Genomic DNA, 26,436 nt, shown 5'->3' with positions numbered 1-26,436 from the left:
CTTTCCAGTACTCTCCTAAAAGAAAAATGGGAAAGGATGGAGAGGACAGTTCCTCCCTAATCCAGCAGAGTTTTAAGGCACACAGACTGATCAGATTCCACATGGGAGGAAGGCTGGGAAGGATCATTTACAGGCAGAGCTTCAATTTTAAGCTGGAATTTGAAAGGAGCAAGAAATTTTACTTGGTCGGAAAGTGGGTGAAAATACTCTGATGGGAAGAGAGGTCAGAGTGATAGGAGAGGAGAGGTTTGAGGCAGTCAGACCTGGGATTGAGCTTGGGAACCCAGTGTCCTCATGTAGGCCTCATAACGGGTTGTTGTAAAAATTAAGCGAGGTGAAGAACCTGAAGCCTGGTAGGTGGCCAGAAAGTGTCAGGCCTTTTGCAGGTGGTTTGCTTTTGTGGTGTTCTGACTCTCAGCTGAAACAGGAGCTTGATAGCAGTGATAATAACTCTTACTTTTTTCTTCTTCTTCTTCTTCTTTCTTCCTTTCTTTTTTTTTTTGAGACAAGTTCTCGCTTTGTTCTCCAGGCTGGAGTGCAGTGGTGTGATCATGGCTCACTGCAGCCGCAACCTCCTGGGCTCAGGCTATCCTCCAACCCCAGCCTCTCCGGTAGCTGGGAATACAGATGCATGCCACCACACCTGGCCAATTTTTGTATTTTTGTAGAGATGGGATTTCACTATGTTGTCCAGGCTGGTCTTGAACTCCTGGTCTAACTGCCTCAGCCTCCCAAAGTGCTGGGATTACAGGTGTGAGCCACTGCGTCTGGCCTACTTATTTTCTTCTTTTTGAGCCTTGGCGTCAGACACTATTAACATCTGAACACTCATCTTGAGACTAGTCCACATATATGATGACCTTACGTGTGAATGGGAGGCTCAGGTTTCAACATAATAAAAGGCACATTTGCCAGGCGCGGTGGCTCACGCCTGTAATCCCAGCACTTTGGGAGGCCGAGACGGGCAGATCACAAGGTCAGGAGATCGAGACCATCCTGGCTAACACCGTGAAACCCTGTCTCTACTAAAAATACAAAAAATTAGCTGGGCGCGGTGGCAGGTGCCTGTAGTCCCAGCTACTCGGGAGGCTGAGGCAGGAGAATGGTGTGAACCCAGGAGGCGGAGCTTGCAGTGAGCTGAGATAGCGCCACTGCACTCCAGCCTGGGCGATAGAGCGAGATTCTGTCTCAAAAAATAAAAAATAAAAAAATAAAAAATAAAAGGCACACTGTAACAATGCATGTTCTTGGTGATATCGTAGGCAAAATTGCTTTTTAGTAATCTTTAGTCTTAGAACATAGCTACCACCCATGTGTGATGCTATTCCAGTGGGAAAGTGCAACCCTCTTTACAGACCAGTTTAAAACCAGCATTTGACACAGCATTGTTGACTGACTGGTTTTGCTGCCCCCAGGGTCTGTGTGTAGCAGACACTGTGGTTGTTATCACAGTGCACACTAAGGAGCAGCCAAGCCAGAGTCATTTTTTCCTGGGTGATCACGGCCACATTCATAGACCAGGACCATGTGAATTTGATTTTTTTTTTTTTTTTTTGAGACAGAGTTTCGCTCTGTCACTAGGCTGGAGTGCAGTGGCCTGATCTTGGCTCACTGCAACCTCCATCTTCCGGGTTCAAGCGATTCTCCTGCCTCAGCCTCCCGAGTAGCTGGGACTATGCGAACGCACCACCACGCCTGGCTAATTTTTGTATTTTTAGTACAGACGGGGTTTCACCATGTTGGCCAGGATTGTCTCGATCTCTTGACCTTGTGATCCGCCCGCCTCAGCCTCCCAAAGTGCTGGGGTTACAGGTGTGAGCCACCACACCCGGCCAGTGATTTTGATTTTTGCATCTTTTAAATATTTTATCCTTTAAAAATAATTGAATTGCCCTGACACAACCAGAAGAAATTAGATGCTGCCTACAGGAAGTATTTTAATTTTGTGAACTTGCTTTGCAGAACACTTGCTGAAATGGCAGCAGCCACATCCGTCCATGTGGTTGCAGTGATTGAACCCATCATTCAGCATGCCGACTGGTTCTTCCCTGAAGGTAATTCTCACTTCAGTTTCATTGACCGCCAAAGCAATGTGATAATCGTACAAAAAGTCTTCTTAAGAGAATACATCTGTAATCCTTCTTCATGATTACGTAATTGGTTTCACTTTTTCATGTTTCTTTCCAGCCTTTGTTCATTGCATTTGTATTTTGACATGATGGTAATCATATTGTATTGTATTTCACTTAGTTTCACTAAAACATAGCCAGTCAGTGTATGTTGAATACCCACTGGGTGCCATATGTTTGCTGGTGAAACATGCCGTCTTACCTGGGGGAACTCCGGCCACTGGAGAAGATGGCCACATGAACAGATAAATTATAACACAAGGCACATTAGAAGATAGGTGGATGGAGAAAGATTTGACAAACTCAAGTGCTGGGAAAAGGGAACCAGGGATTGGTTTTTAGAAGAGGCGATGTTGAATATGCTGGAGTTTTTCACTTGGAAGAGGGCTTGTTTCTCTAGCTAGATTATGGATTTGCCCATAGATAGGAGATAAAGCAGGAAAGGTTGATCGGGGCCAGCTGGTGAAGGCCTGAGTTGGCTGTGTCAGGGAATTAGTATTTCATCCTGCTGGCAATAGATTTTCAAACTAGGTTTGTTGCAGTTCTGGGATCCACAGAGGTTCCCATGGCCCCCTTTGGGGATGCTGGCCAGGCAAGTGTTGGAATTCCGGATCCCCCACACCTACTTCCCCCAGAGCAACCCTGCTGCCATGTCCCGTGGGGTGCAAGCCCCATGATACCCATCTTTCCCTCACCACTGAGCCCATCTTTTCTTTACCACTGTTTTGTCACCATCAGGAATCACGCCTCATTCATATAGGTTGCCCAGTGAGGATGGGATGGATGAGCGAATGCTAGCATTCTGCTCAAGGTTTCCTTTGAGGAAATGATTCTTGCAAAAACTGCTAAAGGCAGTATGAACTTGATGTTGCCTTTTATTTCTATTTTATATTAAAGTGTAAATATCTCTCTTTTTTTTTTTTTTTTTGAGACAGAGTCTTGCTCTGTCGCCCAGGCTGAAGTGCAGTGGCGCGATCTCGGCCCACTGCAACCTCTGCCTCCCAGGTTCAAGCGATTCTCCTGCCTCAGCCTCCTGAGTAGCTGGGAATACAGGCATACATCACCATGCCCAGCTAATTTTTTGTATTTTTAGTAGAGACGGGGTTTCACGTTCTTGGCCAGGCTGGTCTTGAACTCCTGACCTCAAGTGATCCGCCTGCCTTGGCCTCCCAAAGTGCTGAGATTGCAGGCATGAGCCACCACACCCAGCTAAATGTCTCTTTTTGAATGATTCAAATAAGTGATCTGTGCTCATCGTCCTCTTCTACATTCTAGATTTGTTTTTATTTATTTTTTTTCCACAAAAGAGAAAGCACAAAAGTGTGTAACTTATATTCTGACCCATACTTCTTCCCCTGTCTTGTCCTCTTAACATTACTTCCCACTGGTTTGATGGACCATTCTTGCGATGTGAGTGCCTGGAGCTTCCACTTTGAAATAGTGAGGGCTGTGGACTGAAGAACGAGGTTCCCGTTCCAATGAGGGGTGTCTTAGAGCTCCCTCGCCTGCTGTGCTCAGTGTCTCATGCACTTGTTTATTTTTCCTCTTGCAGAGGTGGAATTTAATGTATCAGAAGCATTTGTACCTCTCACCACCCCGAGTTCTAATCACTCATTCCACACTGGAAACGACTCTGACTCGGGGACCCTGGAGAGGAAGCGGCCTGCTAGCATGGCGGTGATGGAAGGAGACTTGGTGAAGAAGGAAAGGTATGATTTGACCGTTCACTTCCAAACCAGCAGTAAATATGTTGTTAGACCCGTGGTATCTGGTATCGCTCAGTGGACTTGGGATTTGAGAGTGGTCGCCATCCACCCATGACTGATGGTGTCCAGATAGTTTCTGGAATTCTGCTGTAGGTCATTCCAAGCACTAATCTCACCATAAAGTCAGTGTGTAGCTTCTCAGTTAACGTTTCTTCCACGTGTATTCCAGCTTAACTTGGTGGTGTGCTTGGTAAGCCCTGCAGTGGAACGGCATCATACACATGTTAAAAGTGACCCAGATGTACGTGAGTGGGGGGAAACAGAAAGGAAAATAAATTCAATAGTGTGGACTTTTGTCCAGAATTGAGTGTGAGAACACCCACCTGGCACAGTGAGTTGAGTGATTTGGCGTTTAAGGAGACATATTTCTGGTATAATGTGGCCCCACAATGGAAGCCAACCACTGAATTTGATGTTCAGTGGGAAAAACCTCAGTATTTGCCAATTCTAGAAGAAAAAAAAATGGCAGTGTTGAACTTAGTGAGAAGCAGTGTGTCTCTATATACTCTTTTCTATGGGCAATTCATGGGATTTTCAAGGGTGATTAAGACTGTTTGTAATTTGTGCCTTTGGATGCCAACCTGTCCCATGTGTGTGATGAAATGCCACTGTACTCACTAGGAATGCTAACAGTTAAGAGGCCTGTTGGAAGTAATATGCTTTTCTTGGTATATTAAATAATACTACTAGAAATAGTTTTACATTAAAACGAAGTGACAAGCTCTTATTTTAATTGCTCAGTCTTATAGTGAGGTGTGCTGTTTGTTTCTTGTTCTTTGTATTGCATTTTTTACCCCTAGCAAAGGAGAATGCATTATTCTGTCCCTATTCTGTCCTTCCAAAATCCACATTTATTCTATGCAGACGTATTACCTCTCTGAACCCTCATTCATACATTCAGTAGTATTTCCTGATGACAGACTCTACCTGTAACAAAATTAGCTTTCATATATTTTAAGTTACAGAATACAGTGCATGAGTCTAGTTAGCACGTGACAGACAATTCTCAGTTACCTGCCTTGTGTATTCTCCCTGCCAGCTGACCCAGTAAGCACGAGCTCAAGAAGCCAGGTATCTTTTTACTTTTTGAACTGAAAGAAAAAGTTGTTAAGTTCATAGATCAGTCGCCTTAAGTGAAAAGTCAGCCTTCCTTCCACCCTCTCCAGCCACATCCAGCCACCATTCCCTTCCCCAAAGCAACGGCTTTTTCCAGTCTTTTTGGTTTTTGTTTTTTTGAGACAGGGTTATGTGCCCAGGCTAGAGTGCAGTGGTATGATCATGGCTCACAGCAGCCTTGACCTCCTGGGCTCAGGCAGCCCTCCCACCTCACACACCTGACTAGCTGGGACTATAGGCACGCACCACCTCACGCAGCTAATTTTCTAAAAAAATAGTTTTTTGTAGAGACAGGGCCTCACGATGTTTCCCAAGCTGGTCTTGAATTTCCAAGCTAAAGCGATCCTCCCACCTTGTCCTCCCAAAGTGCTAAGATTACAGGTGTGAGCTACCATGCCCAGCTTTTCCAGCCTTATGTACCTTTCACATGTAGTCTGCATATGCACATAGGATTGTTTCTACATCTCATCTCAGTTAAGAGGCAGTGTGGTGTGATAACCTTACACTGCCATTGGTAGGCCTTCTGGACTTGACTTCTGTGTCATTCCCCAAAAACAGATTTGAGATGGGAACTAGGAAGTATGGAAATAGGCCGGATGTGGTGACTTATGCCTGTAATCCCAGCACTTTGAGAGACCAAGGCAGGAGGAATACTTGAGGCCAGGAGTTTGACATCAGCCTGGGCAATGTAGTGAGACCGCATCTCTACAAAAAAAAATTTTTTTTTAGTATCCCAGTATGGTGATGTGTGCCAGTAGTCCAAGCTGCTCCAGAGGCTGAGGCTGGAGGATTGTTTGAGCCCAGGAGTTTGGCACTGTAGTGAGCTATGATTGCTCCACTGGAGTGCCAAGCACTCCAGCCTGGGTGGTGGAGTGAGACCACATGTCTAAAGGGGGAAAAAAACAGCAGAGGAAGTATGGGGATAAACACACTAACATGATGTCATTCAAGATGAGGCCTGCCTATTTGCTTTTAGCTGCTCACACCCAAATTGATCAAAGACATTGAACAGTACCAGGTTCATTGGCTTTGCTCAGGCTTGAAGCCGAGTGGAGTTGCTCAGGGGTGGCCATTAGTCTGGTCCTTGCCGCTTCACTGCATGCCGGGCAGCTTGGGTGGCTATCCCCATGTGTGGTTTTAACACATGTGGACCGATGGGCTTCTGTCTCAGTAGTCTGCTCGCATGGTGTGTTGACTGTTTCTTCTCTCTGTGTAGCTTTGGTGTGAAGCTTATGGACTTCCAGGCCCACCGGCGGGGTGGCACTCTAAATAGAAAGCACATATCCCCCGCTTTCCAGCCGCCACTTCCGCCCACAGATGGCAGCACCGTGGTGCCCGCTGGCCCAGAGCCCCCTCCCCAGAGCTCTAGGGCTGAAAGCAGCTCTGGGGGTGGGACTGTCCCCTCTTCCGCGGGCATACTGGAGCAGGGGCCGAGCCCAGGCGACGGCAGGTAAGGAGGCTGACTTCTGCTGGCAGTGGAGGCTGGACGCCCCAGCCTTCTTGCAGGTGGTGGCCTTTGAGCACGGCATCCATGCCCAAAGAACTGCTCCAGCATGGAGTGAACAGATTTACTTTCACTCCTCTGGTTGGCAAAAGATGGAAAAAAAGACTATGAATGGCTCGCTTCTTTTTATGTTTTCCAAAGAAAGCAACATTGGTTTGCATTCTTTGCCACACTGCTTTGGTGCTGGAAACCGGAAGCCAGTGGATGTCTCATAGTGTGATGAGCCTCTGTCACCTGTTGGATGTATACTGTCAGCATTCATGTACCTTCTGTTCATTGTCATCCAGTGTGCTAACCAGGAAGCATTTGAGTGTGGCAAGTTAGTTAAATTTTCGTATTCCTGGCATTTATTCACCCATTCGTTGATTGATTCAGTGAAACAGATTTACTGAGTCACTGATATGTGCTAGGCACATGAGGTGACTAAGACTCCACTCCACACCCCCAGATTTCAGTCTTGTAGGGCAGTTGATCCATGAGTCCAAGGTGGAAAATAAGATGGTAGCTTTTCTTTTTTCTTTTTTTTTTTTTTTTTTCTGAGACTGCGTCTTGCTCTGTTGCCCAGGCTGGAGTGCAGTGGCATAATCGTAGCTCACTGCACCCTCCGCCTCCTAGGCCCAAGCAATCCTCCTACCTAAGCCTCCCAAGTAGCTGGGATTACAGGTGCTTGTCACCATGCCCAGCTAATTTTTTTATTTTTGTAAAGATGGGGTAAACATAGATGCCCTAGGTTGCCCAGGCTGATCTCGAACTCCTGGCCTCAAGTGATCTTCCTGCCTCAGCCTTCCAAAATGCTGGGATTACAGGCATGAGCCACCATGCCTAGCTGGTAGATTTTCTTAAAAGGCTCTTTTAGTTGCTTAACCTTTGGATAAGCCACCTGGAGTGGGCTGCAAATGGATAGCAACTTTTAAGAAAAGTCACCTTGAACTTGAGGTTTTTTTTTTTGAGACAGTCCCACTCTGTCGCCTAGGCTGGAGTGCAGTGGTGCAATCTCGGTTCACTGCAACCTCCGTCTCCCGGGTTCAAGTGATTCTCTTGCCTCAGCCTCCGGAGTAGCTGGGATTACAGGCACACACCACCATGCCAGGCTAATTTTTTTGTATTTTTAGTAAAGACAGGGTTTCGCCATGTTGGTCAGGCTGGTCTCAAACTCCTGACCTCAGGTGATCCCCCTGCCTTGGCCTCCCAAAGGCTGGCATTACAGGTGTGAGCCACCGCGCCCAGCCATAACTTGAGATTTTTATTTAATTGACATTAATTCAGTTCTCCACACTGATCCAGGCAGATGACCACCAGAGGCTACTTCAGGTGGCATCTCTTGTGGTTTGGAACTGACAGCTGCTTAGCTTTGCATACATGTGTGCCAAAATTTTTGTTGTCATATGTTCTGCATTGGCCATCCACAACACACCGAATGATCATATATGAAGTAAAATAAATGTGCACAAAACAAGGACAGGCTGTTTATCCACACGTTTATTTCCCACACAGAGAGATGAATTTGCCTTGAAAGAACTCCTTTCTCATCGTCCTTGGGATGAGCAAGGGAGAGCCTTGTTGTGTGTGAAGCTGCTCGTGAGATAGGAATCTTGTTTCACCATTAAAACTGAATGCTGAATGCTTTGTGCATTCCTGAATTCCATTTTCTTCACCTTGGGAAAGTTTACTTTGGGGTTAAAAAAAATTAAGACTTCAGACTTCTTAGGGCTTCCCGTGCACCTCATAGGCTGCACGTTAGCTTGTCAATAATTGTGCCCTATGCATGTACTTGTTTTGGTTTAAATTTTTTTGTTTGAAGGAAAAAAGTCTAAGCAAATTCACTTATTTTCTTTTTCTTGGTTTTGTTTTTTATTTTTATTTATTTTTATTTATTAATTTATTTTTTGAGACGAAGTCTCGCTCTGTTGCCCAGGCTGGAGTGCAGTGGTGCAATGTTGGCTCACTGCAACCTCTGCCTCCTGGGTTCAAATGATTCTCCTGCCTCAGCCGCCGGAGTAGCTGGGATTACAGGCATGGACCACCATGCCTGGCTAATTTTTGTATTTTCAGTAGAGATGGGGTTTCACCATGTTTGCCAGGCTGGTCGCGATGTCCTGACCTCAAGTGATCCACCTGCCTTGGCCTCCCAAAGTGCTGGGATTACAGGCGTGAGCTACTGCCCCGGCCTGTTTTTTGTTGTTTTTTTTTTTTCAGACAGGGTCTTGCTCTGTCACCCACGCTGGAGGGCAGTGGTGTGATCATGGCTCACTACAGCCTTTTAATCTCCCAGGCTCAAGCGATCTTCCCACCTCAGCCTCCCAACTGGGACTATAGTAGTGCATCCCCATGCCCAGCTAATTTTTTTAAATTTTTGTAGAGACGAGGTCTCACTGTGTTGCCCAGGCTGGTCTTCAATCCTGGTCTCAAGCAGTCCTCCCTCCCTAACCTCCCAAAGTGCTGGGATTACAGGCATGAGCCACCATGCCCAGCCAATTTACATATTTTCATTTCCTTGTGACATTCCATTTGTTTAATCAAGGCTAAATGTATTATTTAAGACAATAATTAGTCTTAATGCAGAAGGACAAATGGAATGTCAGTTACTTTGCTTTTTTTTTTTTTGAGACAGCATCTCGCTCTGTCAGCCAGGCTGGAGTGCAGTGGCATGATCTTGACTCACGGCAACCTCCACCTCCTGGGTTCAAGCGATTCTCCCACCTCAGCCTCCAGAGTAGCTGGGACTACAGGCATGCGCCACCACGCCTGGCTAATATTTGTATTTTTAGTAGAGACGGGGTTTCACCTTGTTGGCCAGGCTGGTCTTGAACTCCTGACCTCAAGTGATCCATGTGCCTCAGCCTCCCAAAGTGCTGGCGTTACAGGCGTGAGTCACTGTGCCTGGCCTGCTGTTTGTTTTTTATACTGTATTCTGTAGGTATTTTTATGTACATTACACTAATGTTATTCACTCTTTGGTGACCTTGACAAAATGGAGCTACAGAGTTTGGTATAAAAAGTTCTGGGCCAGGAAACAGGAAGCCTGAATTCTGATCTCTATCCTGCTGCTACCAACTCTGGACTTCGAGTAGTCATTTAGCCTCTGAGTTCTCCTTCTTCAGTCCAAGTTATTGATAATAATCAAGCCCTTTATCATTTAGGGTCTTATTTTGCCATGGCTTTTGCTTAGTTTTGTACAGTGTATATGTCAACATGTAAAAGCCATTTCATGGTATTAAGTACTGCCCAATTTAAGTCCAAACGCAGTAGAACTGAAAACTCCGCATTGGTTGCTTTGAAATGGTCTCTCTGATGATACTGGAGTGGCAGAGTCGTTGGAGTCCAGTCTGATGCAACGAATCTCATAAAATAAATAGTCCTATAGTCCCGGCTACTCAGGGTGCTGAGGCAGGAGAGGATTGCTTGAGTCCAGAAATTTGAGACCAACCTGGGCAACATAGCAAGACCTCATCTCTTAAAAAAAAAATGGCACCAAGTAAACATTAGCTCTTTATATGGCACCAAGTAAACATTAGCTTTATAAGCCCAGTGTGAGCTAGTTAGAATTTCAGATCCTTTTCCTGCCTGCCGAAGTGAAAACTCTGCTTGGAATCTTATGTTTTATGTGCAGTATGTTCAGATTTTCTAGCTGGGATTGTCTGACGTCTAACTTGACTTTTACTCCTCTTAGTCCTCCCAAACCGAAGGACCCTGTATCTGCAGCTGTGCCAGCACCAGGGAGAAACAACAGTCAGATAGCATCTGGCCAAAATCAGCCCCAGGCAGCTGCTGGCTCCCACCAGCTCTCCATGGGCCAACCTCACAATGCTGCAGGGCCCAGCCCGCATACACTGCGCCGAGGTAAGCAGCCACCGTCCTCCTTGCCCTCAGGGAAGCCTGTGCAGACCTCCTTAAGTTAGTGCAAGGATTCAGATGGTGAGGTTTGTGGCCAGATCTTTTCTATGTCTGTTGTAAAATCCCAAGCAGAAAATTCAGTCATTCAAGAGAAAAGTCATTAAAGAAAAAGGAAAAAATAGAGAACAGAAAAGCAGACATTTAGTTTTTCCTTAGGCGTGACAAAGCTTAACAAACAGTCAGTTCTGCAGAAATGCTCCCAGTTTTCCTGGTGTCCCAAGCCCTCGCTCTGTTTGGAGACTACCACAGCCTCTGTACTTCTCAGCTTTGTGGGTCTGGGAGGCACTTTTGCTTCGGAATTGGGGTGAAGGCTTTCTAGGTCCTGATTAACAGAATCTGAACTGCTCCCACCTGTCTTCCCTGCAGTCCTCCACCCAGCAGCCAGGGGAATTGCTTTAAAACTCCAAGCAGATCATGTCGTCTCTTGGTTAAACTCTTCAGTGGCTTCCATGCGAACTTCTCACCCTGGGTTCTCTGTGCTTTGGTGGGGCCTACCTCTGAGCCCAGAGCTTACACTCCCTCCTCTCAACACACTCCACTCTTGGTTCCTTGAATGAACTAAGTTCATCCCCTCCTTAGGGCTTCCAGAACATTCTGTCCCATATCTTCACATGGTTTCTTCTTACCATTCAGGTCTCACCTCAAAAATCACTTCTTCCAGCTGGGCGTGGTGGCTCACACCTATAATCCCAGCACTTTGGGAGGCTGAGGCAGGAAGATCGCTTGAGGCCAGGAGTTGGAGACCAATCTGGTCAACATAGTGAGAGCCCACCTCTACAAAAAAAATTTTAAAAATTATCTGGGTGTGGTGACACACACCTATAGTCCCAGCTACTCAGGAGGCTGAGGCAGGAGGATCACTTGAGCCCAGGAGGTCGAGCCTGCAGTGAGCTATGATTGCACCACCGCACTCCAGCCTGGACAACAGAGTGAGACCCCATCTCTAAAATAAAAAAGAGAGGCCAGGCGCAGTGGCTCACACCAGTAATCCCAGCACTTTGGGAGGCCGGGGTGGGTGGATCACTTGAGCCAGGAGTTCAAGCCTGGCCAACATGGTGAAACCCCATCTCTACTAAAAATACAAAAATTAGCCGGGCATGGTGCTTGCACGCCTGTGGTCCCAGCTACTCAAGAGGCTGAGGCAGGAGAATTGCTTGAACCTGGGAGGCAGAGGTTGCAGTGAGCCAAGATTGTGCCACTGCACCCCAGCCTGGCCAACAGAGCAAGACTCTGTCCCGAAAAAAGAAAAAAAAATGGATTAAATTCACTGTGTCTGTCTATAGAAGCATGGTCTTTACAAAGCACTACACAAATGTTAGTGGAATTTCTACAAATCATAGGCAGGGAGGCAAATCCGAGTCCACTGCTTGGTTGCAGACCCCCACTTTATTCTTCTTCAGGCTGCCTCTCTGGGCCCTGTCATCTTATCAGGATCTCAGCTGATCCTTGAGGGAAGTTAGTCTTCTGGACCTAGATTCCAGGTGTGACTCTGGTTTTGGATTAAGAAGACTCTTTTCCTTATAGCCGCATTCAGAGTCTTTCATGCTTCCCGAAATCACAGCTCCCAGGCTTCTTCGCAGGATGGGTTTGATTCTTTTTTCCTTCCCCACCCCCTGCGCCTCTGAGGTGGTCTCAGACAAGGCCTCCATTTCTCCCAGCCCCCTCCCCCTGACACTTTGCTCCCACGCTCCCTCTCCCCATCCTCTTCACACCCTTAAATTTCAGGAACGAGCTTTTATTCAGTATGACTTTACAATTAGTATTGCTTAGAACAGAAAACTAGACTTTTTTTTTAAATGCCGATGGCAGTCTGGAGTACAGCTAATGTAAGCTGGTTGGTGGTTTCTGAGTTCCAGGGTTGAAAGTTCCAGACCAGTGTAGCAGAGTAGACTTTACCCTTTTTTCTTTTTTTTTTTCCTTTCTTATGTTTTTTAGAGGCAGGGTCTCGTTTTCTCACCCATGCTGGAATGCAGTGGCGTGATAATAGCTCACTGCATCCTCCAGCCACTGGACTCAAGTGATCCTCCCACTTTGGCCTCTCAAAGTGCTGGTACTACAGGCACATGCCACCATGCCTGGCTGCTTTATTTTTTTGTAGAGTCGGGGTCTCACTGTGTTGCCCAGGCTGGTCTTGAGTGATCTTCCTGCCTCAGCCAGTCAGAGTGCTGGGAATACAGGCATGAGCCACCGAGACTTTACCCTTTTCAATCCTGAATTCTGGGCCCTGTAAACAGGCAGCCGGGGAATAGGGGAAGGAGGAAGAGGAAAAAGCATTCAGGGAGTCCACATGTCATGGGCAGGAGTCTCAGTTCTGCCCCTTACTAGCTGTGTGACCTATTACCAAACACTGGCCCTCTTCAAGCCTCAGTTTTCTTCTCTGTGAAAATGGGGATAACAGAGCTTGCCCTGCAATGAGCTTATGAAACTTGAATGAGATAATTTATATAAATTATAATGTGCATAATTTATATAAAAGGCCTTACTTGGTACTGGTGATAAGAGTGATACATGTTCATTTCTTTCCTTCATTTCCTTCTCCTTCTTTCTTAGAGAACCAGTAGGATCTTAGCAGAGTTTGAAAAAGGCTAAAATCTCTCCTTTCCCCCTACCCCTCCCAGCCCAAAACCAGAGCCCCAGATCTGTTGTTTTCCCTCCTGCCCTCATCAGTCCCAGGTTCCTATCCCTGATCTCAGCTGGTGTAGGGAGGAGAGTGATGTGATTCAGCTCTCTTTAGAGAAATAATTCTAAGGCAACTCTTCCAGATTTATTCATGCTTTTGTCCAGGACATATCTATTAACTCAAATGGTTGCGGAATTGGTAGAAATTCTGTTATTAAGACCAATCAAACCAATCAAACTCTCAAGGAGAAGGTGGCTTGGGATCAGGGGTCATGTTATATCAGGGTGAACTAGTCATGCTTGGTGGTCCCTCCTGGCTGTTCTGCCTCTTTCTGCGTCTTCCCATGGGGCCCTAATGAGGAGGCTGCTAAGTGGGCTGAGGGCAGCACTTCCGTGTCATTGGGGTGGCCTCTGTTAACAGTTTTCTTCTTATTGAACTTTCAAAACGATAGGCCTTTAAAGCCCTTTCAAATGTGCATAATGTACTTAATTTTTAAAATAAACTTGTTTGTTTGGAGTAATTTTGAATTTATAGAAAAGTTGCAAAGATAATGCTGAGAGTTCCCATATGCCCCTTACTCAGTTTCCCCTGTTGTTAATGTGTTACATGACCATGGCACATTTACCCCAGCTCAGAAGTCAACATTGGGCTAGTCCCCCCATCCCCCCCAACTTTTTTTTTTTTTTTGAAATGGTCTCACTCTGTTGCCCAGGCTGGAATTCAGTGGTGTGATCACTGCAGCCTTGGACTTCCCAGGCTCATGGGATCCTCCCACCTCAGCCTCATGAGTAGCTGGGATTACAGGCGCATGCCACCACGCCCGGCTAATTTTTGTAGTTTTTTGTAGAGATGGGGTTTTGCCACGTTGCTCAGGCTGGCCTTGAACTCCTGCACTCAAGTGATCCGCCTGCTTTGGCCTCCCAAAGTGCTGAGATCACAGGCGTGAGCCACTGCACCTTGCGGTTCATTACCATTAACTAGACTCCACATTTTGTTCAGATTTCCCTAGTTTTTCCACTCATGTCCATTTTCTGTCCCAGGATCTCATCCAGGAGCCCACATTATATGTAGTCATCGTATCTTCTTCGTCTCCTGCTGTCTGTGACATGTTCTCCGTCTTTCTGTGCTTTTCTATGGCCTTGATGGTTTTGGAGAGTACTGGTCAGGCATTTTGAAGAAAGGCCTTCAATTTGTGTTTGTCAGATGTTCTTCTGATGGGTTATGGGCTTTGGGGAGGAAGACACAGTGTGGTGCCCTCCTGACCACCTCTCATCAGAGGTACATGATGCTGGTGTACCTTATTACTGGTGATGTTAAATTTGGGCTCCTGGCCAGGGTTGGTTGCTGCCTCACTGTTCCTACTGAAAGGTGTTTTTTCTCTTTTTGTGCAGCTGTTAAAAAACCCGCTCCAGCACCCCCGAAACCGGGCAACCCACCTCCTGGCCACCCCGGGGGCCAGAGTTCTTCAGGAACATCTCAGCATCCACCCAGTCTGTCACCAAAGCCACCCACCCGAAGCCCCTCTCCTCCCACCCAGCACACGGGCCAGCCTCCAGGCCAGCCCTCCGCCCCCTCCCAGCTCTCAGCACCCCGGAGGTACTCCAGCAGCTTGTCTCCAATCCAAGCTCCCAATCACCCACCGCCGCAGCCCCCTACGCAGGCCACGCCACTGATGCACACCAAACCCAATAGCCAGGGCCCTCCCAACCCCATGGCATTGCCCAGTGAGCATGGACTTGAGCAGCCATCTCACACCCCTCCCCAGACTCCAACGCCCCCCAGTACTCCGCCCCTAGGAAAACAGAACCCCAGTCTGCCAGCTCCTCAGACCCTGGCAGGGGGTAACCCTGAAACTGCACAGCCACATGCTGGAACCTTACCGAGACCGAGACCAGTACCAAAGCCAAGGAACCGGCCCAGCGTGCCCCCACCCCCCCAACCTCCTGGTGTCCACTCAGCTGGGGACAGCAGCCTCACCAACACAGCACCAACAGCTTCCAAGATAGTAACAGGTAAGTAGGACATCAATGCCCGTATTTCCTCGTCTGCTCTACATTGCTTTTGTACTACTACATTTTATTTAAGCTTTGATTTATGCCAGGTGTCAGCAAACTACACCCGCAAGCCAAACCAAACCTGTCCTGCAGCCAGTTTTTGTCATTAAAGTTTTATTGGAACACAGCTACACCCATTTGTTAACATATTGTCTGTGGCTGCATTGGTGCTGAAACAGCAGAGCTGGGTAGTCGTGACCAAAGATCCTGTGGCCCACAAAGTTGGAAACATTTACTGCCTGGTCCTTTAAGTTTGCCGACCCCTGACTTATAGTTGCTTGTGTGTTTAAGACCTATGTACGTTTACATTTTTCTCAACATAATGGCTTTTATTCCAGGTGGAAGGTATTTTACAACACGAGCATGAACTTTATTTCTTAGTGAATTCCTCATTAAAATGCTTAAACAGTACTTCTAAGAGTAAAAGTGTTCATATTAAGTACAGAATTTCAGGTATAACTTTAAAAAACATGATTTATGCCAAATTGAATGCTCCAGAAGGGAGATCTCAGGGCACTGTCATGTTCTAATGGCTTGGGAGGGAAGAATCAAGATTTTCCTGTAGACCCAGTGGGAACCTGTTTGGAAGTGGTGGTGATTGTACAGGTTTTAGTGGGCTACCTAATGGCATATTTTTAATAGTCTAGAACATGACCATTTTATTTAACATTTCAAGAATATTTCCATCCCAAATGCTCTAATTTATTATTTAATTTAAGGATGAATATGGGGGTTTCTAGTGTGTTTTTAAAAATGGTAATTAGGGGCCTCAAATAATTTCTTACAGCAGCCTAGTTTAAATTGTTCTAAGTGGAGGCACTTTCGGAAAAGAAGCTGAAATACACCTCTGGGCTTTCCAACCATATTGAGTGACTTTGCAGCTAAAAATGTGCCAAGGTTTCCATTAACCCAAAGGGTGACGGTTAACTGATTCTAACAGCTTTTGATAACTTTTTTCAGGAATATAATACATAATTTGCACATGTTATAAATGGTTAATAACTTTTTTTCTGATGCCATCAGAGCTTTTATTTTGAAAACAACAAAGCCATGTTGGTTTGTTTGTTTTGTTTCCCAATAGATGCCCTTCCTAGTGCCCTCACAGGTGGGGAAGGTTTCCAGGACTAAGGTCTGTAATGGCCCCGAGCAGCTTGCCCCATAGCTCGCCCCACAGCTCCAAATGCTCCTGCTTAGCCGTGTTTTGCATATGTGCTTTTGACCATGTGCTCAGGAGCAGCCGTTTGACCGTGTGCCCTGACAGCCAATAGGCCATCCATTCTGTAGCATATTGACATTTCTTTATTTTTATCAGAAGCACTTTGAGCTGCAGTGCTTCAAATTCGAGGAGTAGATGTCAGTAGATCAAGAGCCTGATTTCAAGCTGCTCTTGAAGAGTATCTTCTTTCTTAGGGGCCAAGCACAGTGGCTCGTGCCTCTAATCCCAGTACTTTGAGTGGCTGAGGCAAGAGGATTGCTTGAGCTCAGGAGTTCGAGACTGCAGTGGGTAGTGATTGTGTCACTGCACACTGCAGTCCAGCCTGCATGACAGAGTGAGACCCTGCCTCTTTTTAAAAAAAAAAAAAAAAAGGAATATCTTCTATCTTTTTGGTGAGCCTCTTAGCAGCAGTCTACTCTTCCCAGTGTGATTTACCTGTCACTGATGGGCTCACCAGCATCCAACCAAAGAGGACCCAGGTGCAGTCAGCACGGGAGGAAATTGTGTCCTTTGTGTCTTGAGCTTTAATTTTAAATTTTTGTATTTTAAGTGCAAGTTAACTGCATGGAGCTTCTTAATTTGATATTTTAAATTCTCAAGACCAAAAAATTAAAAAAAATCTTCCGCCAAATACCCTACACTGAATTATTTTAAATTCCTTTGCATCCTAGCATGCTTACGTTTTGCTTTATTAAACCATATGAGCTTTTTAAAAGGCACTGTGAGCTCATCTAAGTCTGCCGCTGGGTCTACATGTGGACAGCATAAGGCCCTCATCATATGTACAGCTGCTTTAATCAGCTGGCCTGAGCCTTAGGCCTACTGTGGGCCCCTTAGCCAGAGTGCTCACAGCTTAGGTCTGAGTAAGACTTTCTGTAGGAACCGTAAGTGGAAAACCAGAGTGTAGCCTTCAAAACAGGGAGGAGGCCCGGGTGCGATTCCACAATTTCATGCTTGTGACACACCAAAATGTTATTATCAGATATTTCCTTTTATTTAAATGAAAGATTGCAAACCAGAATTATGCCTATTTTTTAATACCATTGTTACCCGGGGTGTATTTATTCCACAAGTTTAGTTTACTGATCTGCTACAACACTGTAATATACTGCCTGTAATTATTAGATAAGTGAAATTTTACATTAAAAATGTGTTTCCCGAAGATACTAGCTATTTAAAAACCGGTCTATGCTATGAATTCTCCTAACTCAAGAAATTCCAGGTTACCAGAGTTATCTTTGTATTACAGAATTAACCTGTACTATCTTAAAATCCCCTGGCCTCCCACTGAAAGTACACAGAAGGCCAACATTTAGAATTTTTTAATCTGCTAGTATTGATCATACTGCTATTAACCATTCTTGGATGTAGCCATTGGGTTTTTCAAGGAGGAAAAAATATATAACTTCCTTGGACAGGATGGTCCTTTATTATGACATAATGTTTTCACTTAGAAAACTTTAGATGGACAAATTCCTGAAAACAGGTTATTCCTTTAGAATTGGATTAAGTTAGAGTTTTAAAGAGTTGGGTTAAGGCTAATGGGATTAAGATAAACTCTTGGGGGGAGATTATTGCTGCCAAGCAGGTTTGGCAGCCAACTTCTCACAGCTCAGCACCAGCACTGGAGGATGCCGGCATTCTGGCATCATTTTGAGTCTCCTGTTAATTGTGACTCTAGAGAGCAGTAAGAGTTTTAATTCCCATGTAAAAGAGTTTACATCTTGCTATTTTTGAAGTAATAGATTTTAGCAAAGAGTATTCTAATTTAAACATTTTATTAAATAATTTAGATGTATGACCTGCCATATTCAGTAAGAACTGAGATTGGAATATTTAATGGTAAGGAAAAGGCACCTGATTGGCCAATGCATTTTTGCTACTTGATGATCATATTTGTGCACTCATGCCTGTTACTAACTGGCCACCCTAACCCTGCCTGCTTGCATCCCTACTAATAGTGCATGCACTGAAGGAGGACTGGCTTTGTTGATGCTTGCTGCAATGATTCGGAATACTAAGTGTGTACCCAGATGTGGAACAGGTGGTCACAGGGCTGTCCTTGTTACTTCTTTAATTTCCATTCTTTTCCATATCAGGCAAGCTTGAGGTATAGTAGGAAGAACACACATTATGGAGTCAGACCTGACTGAGTTAGAATTTCAGCTCTTGGTATAACATAGGCTAGGCACAACCTGGCTGATCTGTAAAGTGGTGACATCTGTCTAAATTGTTGAAGATGAAATAAGAGAAAGTCCAAGATTATTCTGTTAGCCAGTTACAGTTCTTAATATACGCGCAATCTCGGCTCACTGCAAGCTCCGCCTCCCAGGTTCAAGCAATTCTCCTGCCTCAGCCTCCTGAGTACCTGGGATTATAGGCGCCTGCCACCACATCTGGCTATTTTTTTTATTTTTAGTAGAGACGGGGCTTCACCATGTTGGCCAGGCTGGTCTCGAACTCCTGACCTTAGGTGATCCGGCCTCCTCAGCCTCCCAAAGTGCTGGGATTATAGGTGTGAGCCATTGTGCCTGGCCTGCTATTTATCATTTTTATCTAGAAGAAAATAGTTTTAATCAGATTTCTATGTTAGATTCACATATCAGGGTTTTAAAAACTCATACGCCCGGACCCGGCCTTCTAGGACCCAAACACAGGAGACTGGGGGTGGAACCCAGGTATCCATATTTTGATTCTGATGCACCACTTGGTTTTTTGAATCTCACTTCTTTCATGGGTTAAAAAGACAATGCTCTGCAGAAGGAGATAACATATACATTCATATAATTTAGTGAGCCTGAGACTGTCTGTGAGGCGTTAGTCCACTGTACCACAGATAGACCAAATCACTCACAAAGTAGCCATAAGCCTGGACACTTTGCTGGCTAATTTCATAGTGTTTGCTTTTTAAACTCTCACCCTTCTTATGTCATGTAAGTAATGCCTTTTTAAAAATAAGCATGAGCTGGGGCACGGTGGCTCACGCCTGTAATCCCAGCACTTTGGGAGGCTGAGGCGGGTGGATCACTTGAGGTCAGGAGTTCAAGACCAGCCTGGCCAACATGGGGAAACCCCATCTCTACTGAAAATACAAAAAGTTAGCTGGGTGTCGTGGTGGGTGCCTGTAATCCCAGCTACTTGGGAGGCCAAGGCAGGAGAACTGCTTGAACCCAGGAGGTGGAGGTCGCAGTGAGCTGAGATCGTGCCACTACACTCCAGCCTGGGTGACAGAGTGAGACTCTGTCTCAAATAAATAAAAATAAGCATGGATATTAAAACTCTTGAGAAATGGAAATAATAAGAAATCAACTGTAGCTATACAATTGAAAAAGTCTGCCATTTATATTCTACTTTTTTTCTTTTCTCCTCTTCTCTTCTCTTCTCTTCTCTTTTCTTTTCTTTTCTTTTTTTTTTTTCAGACGGAGTCTCACTCTGTTCCCCAGGCTGGAGTGCAGTGGCACGATCTTGGCTCACTGCAAGCTCCGCCTCCTGGGTTCACACCATTCTTCTGCCTCAGCCTCCCGAGTAGCTGGGACTACAGGCGCCCACCACCACGCCCAGCTAATTTTTTGTATTTTTAGTAGAGACAGGGTTTCACCATGTTAGCCAAGATGGTCTCGATCTGCTGACCTTGTGATCTGCCCGTCTCGGCCTCCCAAAGTGCTGGGATTACAGGCGTGAGCCACCACACCCGCCCCTTTTTTTCTTTTAGTTTTTCTAGAAGGCAAGGAGGTACATGAGCATAATTATTTGACATAGACAGATTTGGATCCTTTTATTTCACTTTACATCATATGCTCGTTCTCATGTGATAATGTAATTTTTAGAACCATGTTTTTCAGTGACTACATAATGTTTCATCAACCAGATGTATTATTACTCCTAGTTGGATATTTAAGTGGCTTCTGTTTCTACTTGCAGTTTATTTTTAATAAGTAGATAATCAGAATTGTGTCAAGATAACATCCAGTGAGACTTGAACAGAATCACTCCTGAATAGTTGACTCAGAGTCTCTAATAGCCCTAGAAAACTGACGAGAAATCATCAGTTCCTGATAAAATTACACAATTCTACTTCAACCAAAGAGGATCAAAGCCAGATTGGTTGGACTGTCATTCTTCTGTTTATTTATTTTGTGTATTTTTTGAGACAGAGTCTTGCTCTGTCACCCAGGCTGGAGTGCAGTGGTGCAATCTTGGCACACGGCAACCCCTGCCTTCCTGGTTTAAGCAGTTCTCTTGCCTCAGCCTCCCAAGTAGCTGGGATTATAGGCAGGTGTGGCAACACCTGGCTGATTTTTGTATTTTTAGTAGAGACAGGGTTTTGCCATATTGGCCAGGCTGGTCTCCAACTCATGACTTCAAGTGATCCACTCACTTCTGCCTCCCAAAGTGCTAGGATTACAGGCATGAGCCACCGCACCTGGCCCCATCATTCTTAATCACCCTAACATTTTCCCTCTTTCCCAAAAGAGTTGTGTATATCCTTGGGTGAGGATCCTGAAAGTGAAGACATTATCTGAGGAAATAATGGTTTGGGTCTTAAACACTCTGGTTAGAGCTAAGTTTATATGACAGGTATTACATTGTAAAAAGGAGAAAAAGGTTATTTTAGAAAGACACCTGTTAGAACCTGCTTTTTTTTTTATTTTTTTTTATTTTTGAGACTGAGTCTTACCCCGTTGCTCAGAATGGAATGCAGTGGTGCGATCTCAGCTCACTGTGACCTCCACCTCCCAGGTTCAAGCGATTCTCCTGCCTCAGCCTCCTGAGTAGCTGGGATTACAGGCACTCACTACCGTGCTCGGCTAATTTTTGTATTTTTAGTATAGACGGGGTTTCACCATGTTGGCCAGGCTGGTCTTGAACTCCTGACCTCAGGTGATCTGCCTGCCTCGGCCTCCCAAAGTGCTGGGATTACAGGCATGAGCTACCACACCCAGCCAGAACCTGCTTTCTAAAAGCACCCTAAACCTCTTTGGTTGTGAATTTATATATTCTCTGCCTTCCAAGGGCTGGTCTTTGAGGATATTGCTTGGAACTAAGTTCATACAGTAGATATTTTATTTAAAAAAAAAAAAAACAGAAAAGAGACCTCCAATAAAAGGTTTCTTTTTTGTCTGATTTTTTGCTTTTTTTTAATTTTGAAATATAATACTTGTCATATAAACTTAGCTCCAAGCAGTATGCTCAAAGACCAGCCCTTCTTGGAATGCAAATAATATATAAATTCATAGCCAGAGACGTTTAGAGGTGTTTAAAGAAAACCAGGTTCTTACAAGTGTCTTTCTAAAATAACCTTTATCTCTTTTTTACAACAATCAACCAGAGTGTTTAAGACTCAAACCGTTCACTGGTGAAGGAAGGCATTCCCTGAGACTCTAGGTCTGAGAAGAGGGATGGGTGGTGGAGAGGGGGAGGGAGTTTATTCGCCCTGCAGTTGTGCCTGCACCACTTACTTTCAAGGGCATATTTGGATCTGTTACTTGTCAAAGTGGCTATCAGAATCACCTTGGACTTCTTGAAGGGTGAGTTCACAACCGAGAAAGCACATATTCAAAATTGTTGAAGTAATAAGTAAATCTTCTAGAACCTTACCCTCAGTGATAACATTCCACTTCTAGCTCTTAAATACCCACTTCTGTTTCCTGGATGAGATACTCAGTGCAGGAAGGAACCTGGGTTACATTTGTCAGAGCCCCAAATCTGAGATGAACTGTATCAAGTTCTGCCTTTGGGCTGAGGCTGGTTACTGGAGGTCATCCTCTGTTTCTCTCTTTTTTTTTTTTTTTTTTTTTAAAAAAAAGAGAGACAGGGTCTTGCTCTGTTGCCCAGGCTAGAGTGCAGCGGTGTGATTCCAGTCCACTGCAGCCTTGACCTCCTGGGCTCAAGCGAATCTCCCAAGTAGCTGGAAGGTGGAACTAGAGGCATGCACCACCACACCCGGCTAATTTTTGTGTTTTTCTTATAGAGACGGAGTCTCATGTTGCCTGGGCTGGTCTCGAACTTCTGGGCTCACACCATCATCCCACCACGCCCAGCCTATTTTGTTTTTTTAAATACAATATCTTTTGTATGAACTTAGCTCCAAGCATATGCTCAGAAACCAGCCCTTCTTGGAGTGCAGTTAATATACGAGTTCATAGCCAGAAAGATTTAGAGGTGTTTCAGACAAACCAGGTTCTTACAGGTGTCTTTCTGAAATAACCATTTTCTCCTTTTTACAACAAACCAGAGTGTTTGTAAGACTGAAACAATGATCTTGGATAATGTCTTTGAAGGCCCTCACCCAGGGATTTACAGACTCCTCTGGGGAGGAGGGAAAATGTAATGCGAAGAGCCAGAGTGCAACCAATCTGGCTTTGATCCTCTTTGGTCCACACTGGCTGTGTCACCTTGGGCAAGGAATAGAGCCTCTGAGTCTCCCTTTCTTATTTCTGCTGCCTTAGGATTAGTTAGTGGGGGTTCAGTGAGACGATGTAATAAAGTGTGGGTGTATAGTACAGTCTCTGGTGTAAGTAAGTGCTCTATAGTAATGTCAGCTACTGAGGCTGGGTGTGGTGGCTCATGCTGGTAATCCCAGCACTTTGGGGAGCCGAGGTGGGAGGATTGCTTGAGGCCAGGAGTTCAAGACCAGCCCAGTCAACATGGTGAAACCTTGTCTCTACCAAAAATAAAAAAAATTAGCCAGGCATGGTGGCGTATGCTTGTAGTCCTAGCTACTCGGGAGGCTGAGGTGGGAGGATCAGTTGAGCCCAGGAGGTGGAGGCTGCAGTGAGCTGAGATTGCACGACTGCACTCCAGCCTGGGCAAAAGAGCAAGACCCCATCTCAAAAAAAAAATTTTTTTTTTTAATGTTAGCTACTGTGATGAAGTCTCTTTCTGAAAACTGGTTCTGTACAGGTTGCCGTAATTCTTTCTACTTTTTGTGTGTAAACAAAGTCATTGTTTCTTTCAGGGACTGATTCATGTAGGAATAGAGAGGGGCTGGGGAAACCAGATGGGGCAGGTGGGCGGCAGAGTAAGGGATTTCCTTTATGCCCCAAAACACATTTTTTCCCCTTGAATTAATAATGTGTGTGGATCATAAATAGAAAAATTCAGAGAGGCACAAATCTAAAAATTATGTATATGTGATGTATAAGAAAAAGAGAGCAGCTGTGGAGGGGCTTGGTGGCTGATAGGCGTTAGCTTGCATGTGAATACAGATATTAACAAGTAGAAATCTCATCCGTATACACAGTGCCTTTGCATCATGCATTCCCCGCCAAGTCATGTCGGTTCCATAGTTTCTGGTAAACTCTGGGCTGAGAAGAGACACGGGCTGGTAGCCCCTTCTGTTTTTGGGGGCCAAGATAATGGGGAAAGGATTGCATTTGCAGTGATTTTCTTATACGTCGTCTTCAAGTCACAGCTACTTCTTTGCCTGAGGATGTAAGAATGGAGGATTGGAAAGATGGTTGCTCTAGATGACTCTTCATGCATCCATCCAACCATCCAAGTGTGCAGCTACAAAATTTCTTGAACATCTGCTATTTGCCGGTCACTGTTTTAGGTACTGAGGATACACTGTGAACAAGACAGACACAGTCCCTGCCTTCGTTGACTTCTGTTCTGCTTAGGACAAATCCAAGACAGCCCCTATTCTGTGCATACAGACCACCTTTGGCTGCACCATAGGCTGGTGCAGTTCTGCACAGTGTCATTGGTTTTATAGTTATCACAAGACCTGAATTGTCTGAAATGACATTCAGCACCTGAACTCTTTGACACTTTGGCACCTCCATAAATCTAGAAATTTCTCTGAGTTGTGGTGCATAGGAAACCTTGAGGGACAACCCAGGAGTAACTGTGAGAAAAAGGGTGTCCCAGGGAGTAAATAGATCTCACAGCTCAGAACTGTAGGGACAGGAAGGTGGAAGGGGTAGGAGCTGGAACAAGTCTCCAAGCAGTGAGCTTCCCCAAAGTGCACCAGCGTTTTCAAGCTGTGCCTGCGTAGACGGGAGCAGGTCGAACAGAAATATAGTCAAAACTAGCTCCCGTCAAGGACAGACAGGATGTCATTTTGCACCACAGCAAGTAGGGGAAAGCAGCTCTCAAGCCTAACTGTGAAACGCCCCCACAAACCACCTCCTCCTCCCACTCCCTCACTGCTGCCTGCCATGGCTACCTCTAACGCAGCAAAGCAAAACTACAAAACATCTCTCTTCTCTCTTACACCAGCCCTAAAATACCTAATGAGGCTCTCATAATTTGCCAGAACCCACATCTACGAGAGAAGCCAGCCCTTTTGTCTTAATTAGGATCCCCTTGGTCTGCCCACTTGACCGTGGGCTTCATTGAGGCTGTGCCTGTCTTGTTCAGTGCTGCGTCCTCAGCAGGTAGAATGGTGCCTGGCACCTGGGAGGTGCTCAGTAAATATTTGTTCATGCATAAATGAATCTGAGACCCACTGGCCTCTGGGAAGAGCATAGGAGAGGGGGACAACAGCATGAGGACCATATGTTTGCCATCTTGCTGAAGGAATTTCAGCCAACATAATAAGACATGAAAATGGCATTCGAGGTGTATTAGACAGACAAGGGGATGTTAGTGTTTGCAGGAGACTTGGTCTGCCTCAGTGATGTCAGTCAGCAGTGATTGTGATTCCCCAGGGGACACTCGGCAGCATCTGGAGACATTTTAGTTTAAACTTCCCCAGTGATCTGTGATGTACAGGAGACACTTTCGGTTGTCACACTGGGGGAGGAGGCTGCATGTCACTGGCATCTGTTGGGTGACACCTACAATGCACAGGACAACCACAACAAATAATTCAGGCCCAAATGTTGCTGGTGCTGAGGGTGAGGTCCTAGTGTTAGTAACAGGAGGAAAACCCAGCAGTCTGGAGGAGAGACCTCTTCCCAGGGCAGCCCAGGGGCCATCAGGAGGGTTCATCTCATGCATTAGAGGTCTTGGGAAGAATGAGGCTTCCTTTCCTCCATCAAAGCAAGCAAATCCTTTAAAAGCTGCATCTCCAAGGGCTGCTCCGGGCTCATAGCAAGCAACGTCGGAGCCCAGAGGCAAGGCTGTGCTACTCAGCTGCCCTCTGGGGTCACAAAGGCTTCACTTGGCTTCTAAGAGCTGATGAGGCCTCTCGCAAGGGACCCTGTGTGCATGGGCTGACCCTGAAACTTCCCAGCCTCTCTTCTTCTCAGAGCACCCTCAGGTGGCCTCTCGGGGGTTACCCCTCATTGATACCATGTCTCCTCGTGTTTTTGTCCAGACTCCAATTCCAGGGTTTCAGAACCGCATCGCAGCATCTTTCCTGAAATGCACTCAGACTCAGCCAGCAAAGACGTGCCTGGCCGCATCCTGCTGGATATAGACAATGATACCGAGAGCACTGCCCTGTGAAGAAAGCCCTTTCCCAGCCCTCCACCACTTCCACCCTGGCGAGTGGAGCAGGGGCAGGCGAACCTCTTTCTTTGCAGACCGAACAGTGAAAAGCTTTCAGTGGAGGACAAAGGAGGGCCTCACTGTGCGGGACCTGGCCTTCTGCACGGCCCAAGGAGAACCTGGAGGCCACCACTAAAGCTGAATGACCTGTGTCTTGAAGAAGTTGGCTTTCTTTACATGGGAAGGAAATCATGCCAAAAAAATCCAAAACAAAGAAGTACCTGGAGTGGAGAGAGTATTCCTGCTGAAACGCGCATAGGAAGCTTTTGTCCCTGCTGTTAATGCGGGCAGCACCTACAGCAACTTGGAATGAGTAAGAAGCAGTGCGTTAACTATCTATTTAATAAAATGCGCTCATTATGCAAGTCGCCTACTCTCTGCTACCTGGACGTTCATTCTTATGTATTAGGAGGGAGGCTGCGCTCCTTCAGACTTGCTGCAGAATCATTTTGTATCATGTATGGTCTGTGTCTCCCCAGTCCCCTCAGAACCATGCCCATGGATGGTGACTGCTGGCTCTGTCACCTCATCAAACTGGATGTGACCCATGCCGCCTCGTTGGATTGTCGGAATGTAGACAGAAATGTACTGTTCTTTTTTTTTTTTTTAAACAATGTAATTGCTACTTGATAAGGACCGAACATTATTCTAGTTTCATGTTTAATTTGAATTAAATATATTCTGTGGTTTATATGAAAA

At 45.6% G+C, this 26,436-nt stretch overlaps 1 protein-coding gene across 19 annotated transcripts in view; it reads left to right on the top strand.

The window, feature by feature from the left end:
• ARHGAP17 (Rho GTPase activating protein 17) overlaps window positions 1-26,436 on the top strand; it is a 95,981-nt gene extending 69,545 nt beyond the window's left edge. For 6 of the 19 annotated variants that reach the window (NM_001006634.3, XM_011545873.4, XM_047434315.1 and 3 more), the window contains 6 exons: window positions 1,963-2,054; window positions 3,682-3,838; window positions 6,228-6,461; window positions 10,186-10,355; window positions 14,421-15,041; window positions 25,565-26,436. In NM_001006634.3, the coding sequence (NP_001006635.1) occupies window positions 1,963-2,054; window positions 3,682-3,838; window positions 6,228-6,461; window positions 10,186-10,355; window positions 14,421-15,041; window positions 25,565-25,695 (1,405 nt within the window). In that variant the 3' untranslated portion in view covers window positions 25,696-26,436. Of the gene's footprint in view, window positions 1-1,962; window positions 2,055-3,681; window positions 3,839-6,227; window positions 6,462-10,185; window positions 10,356-14,420; window positions 15,042-16,164; window positions 16,213-18,092; window positions 18,142-25,564 lie in introns of those variants that run through there. The other 13 variants (XM_047434318.1, XM_047434316.1, XM_047434319.1 and 10 more) reach the window with 6 other exon arrangements.

The sequence above is a fragment of the Homo sapiens genome, chromosome 16 (assembly GCF_000001405.40).
Source record: "Homo sapiens chromosome 16, GRCh38.p14 Primary Assembly".
NCBI classification, from domain to species: domain Eukaryota; kingdom Metazoa; phylum Chordata; class Mammalia; order Primates; family Hominidae; genus Homo; species Homo sapiens.
Note: the sequence above shows the minus strand (reverse complement) of the source record. Positions and strands in the feature narration are given on the sequence as shown.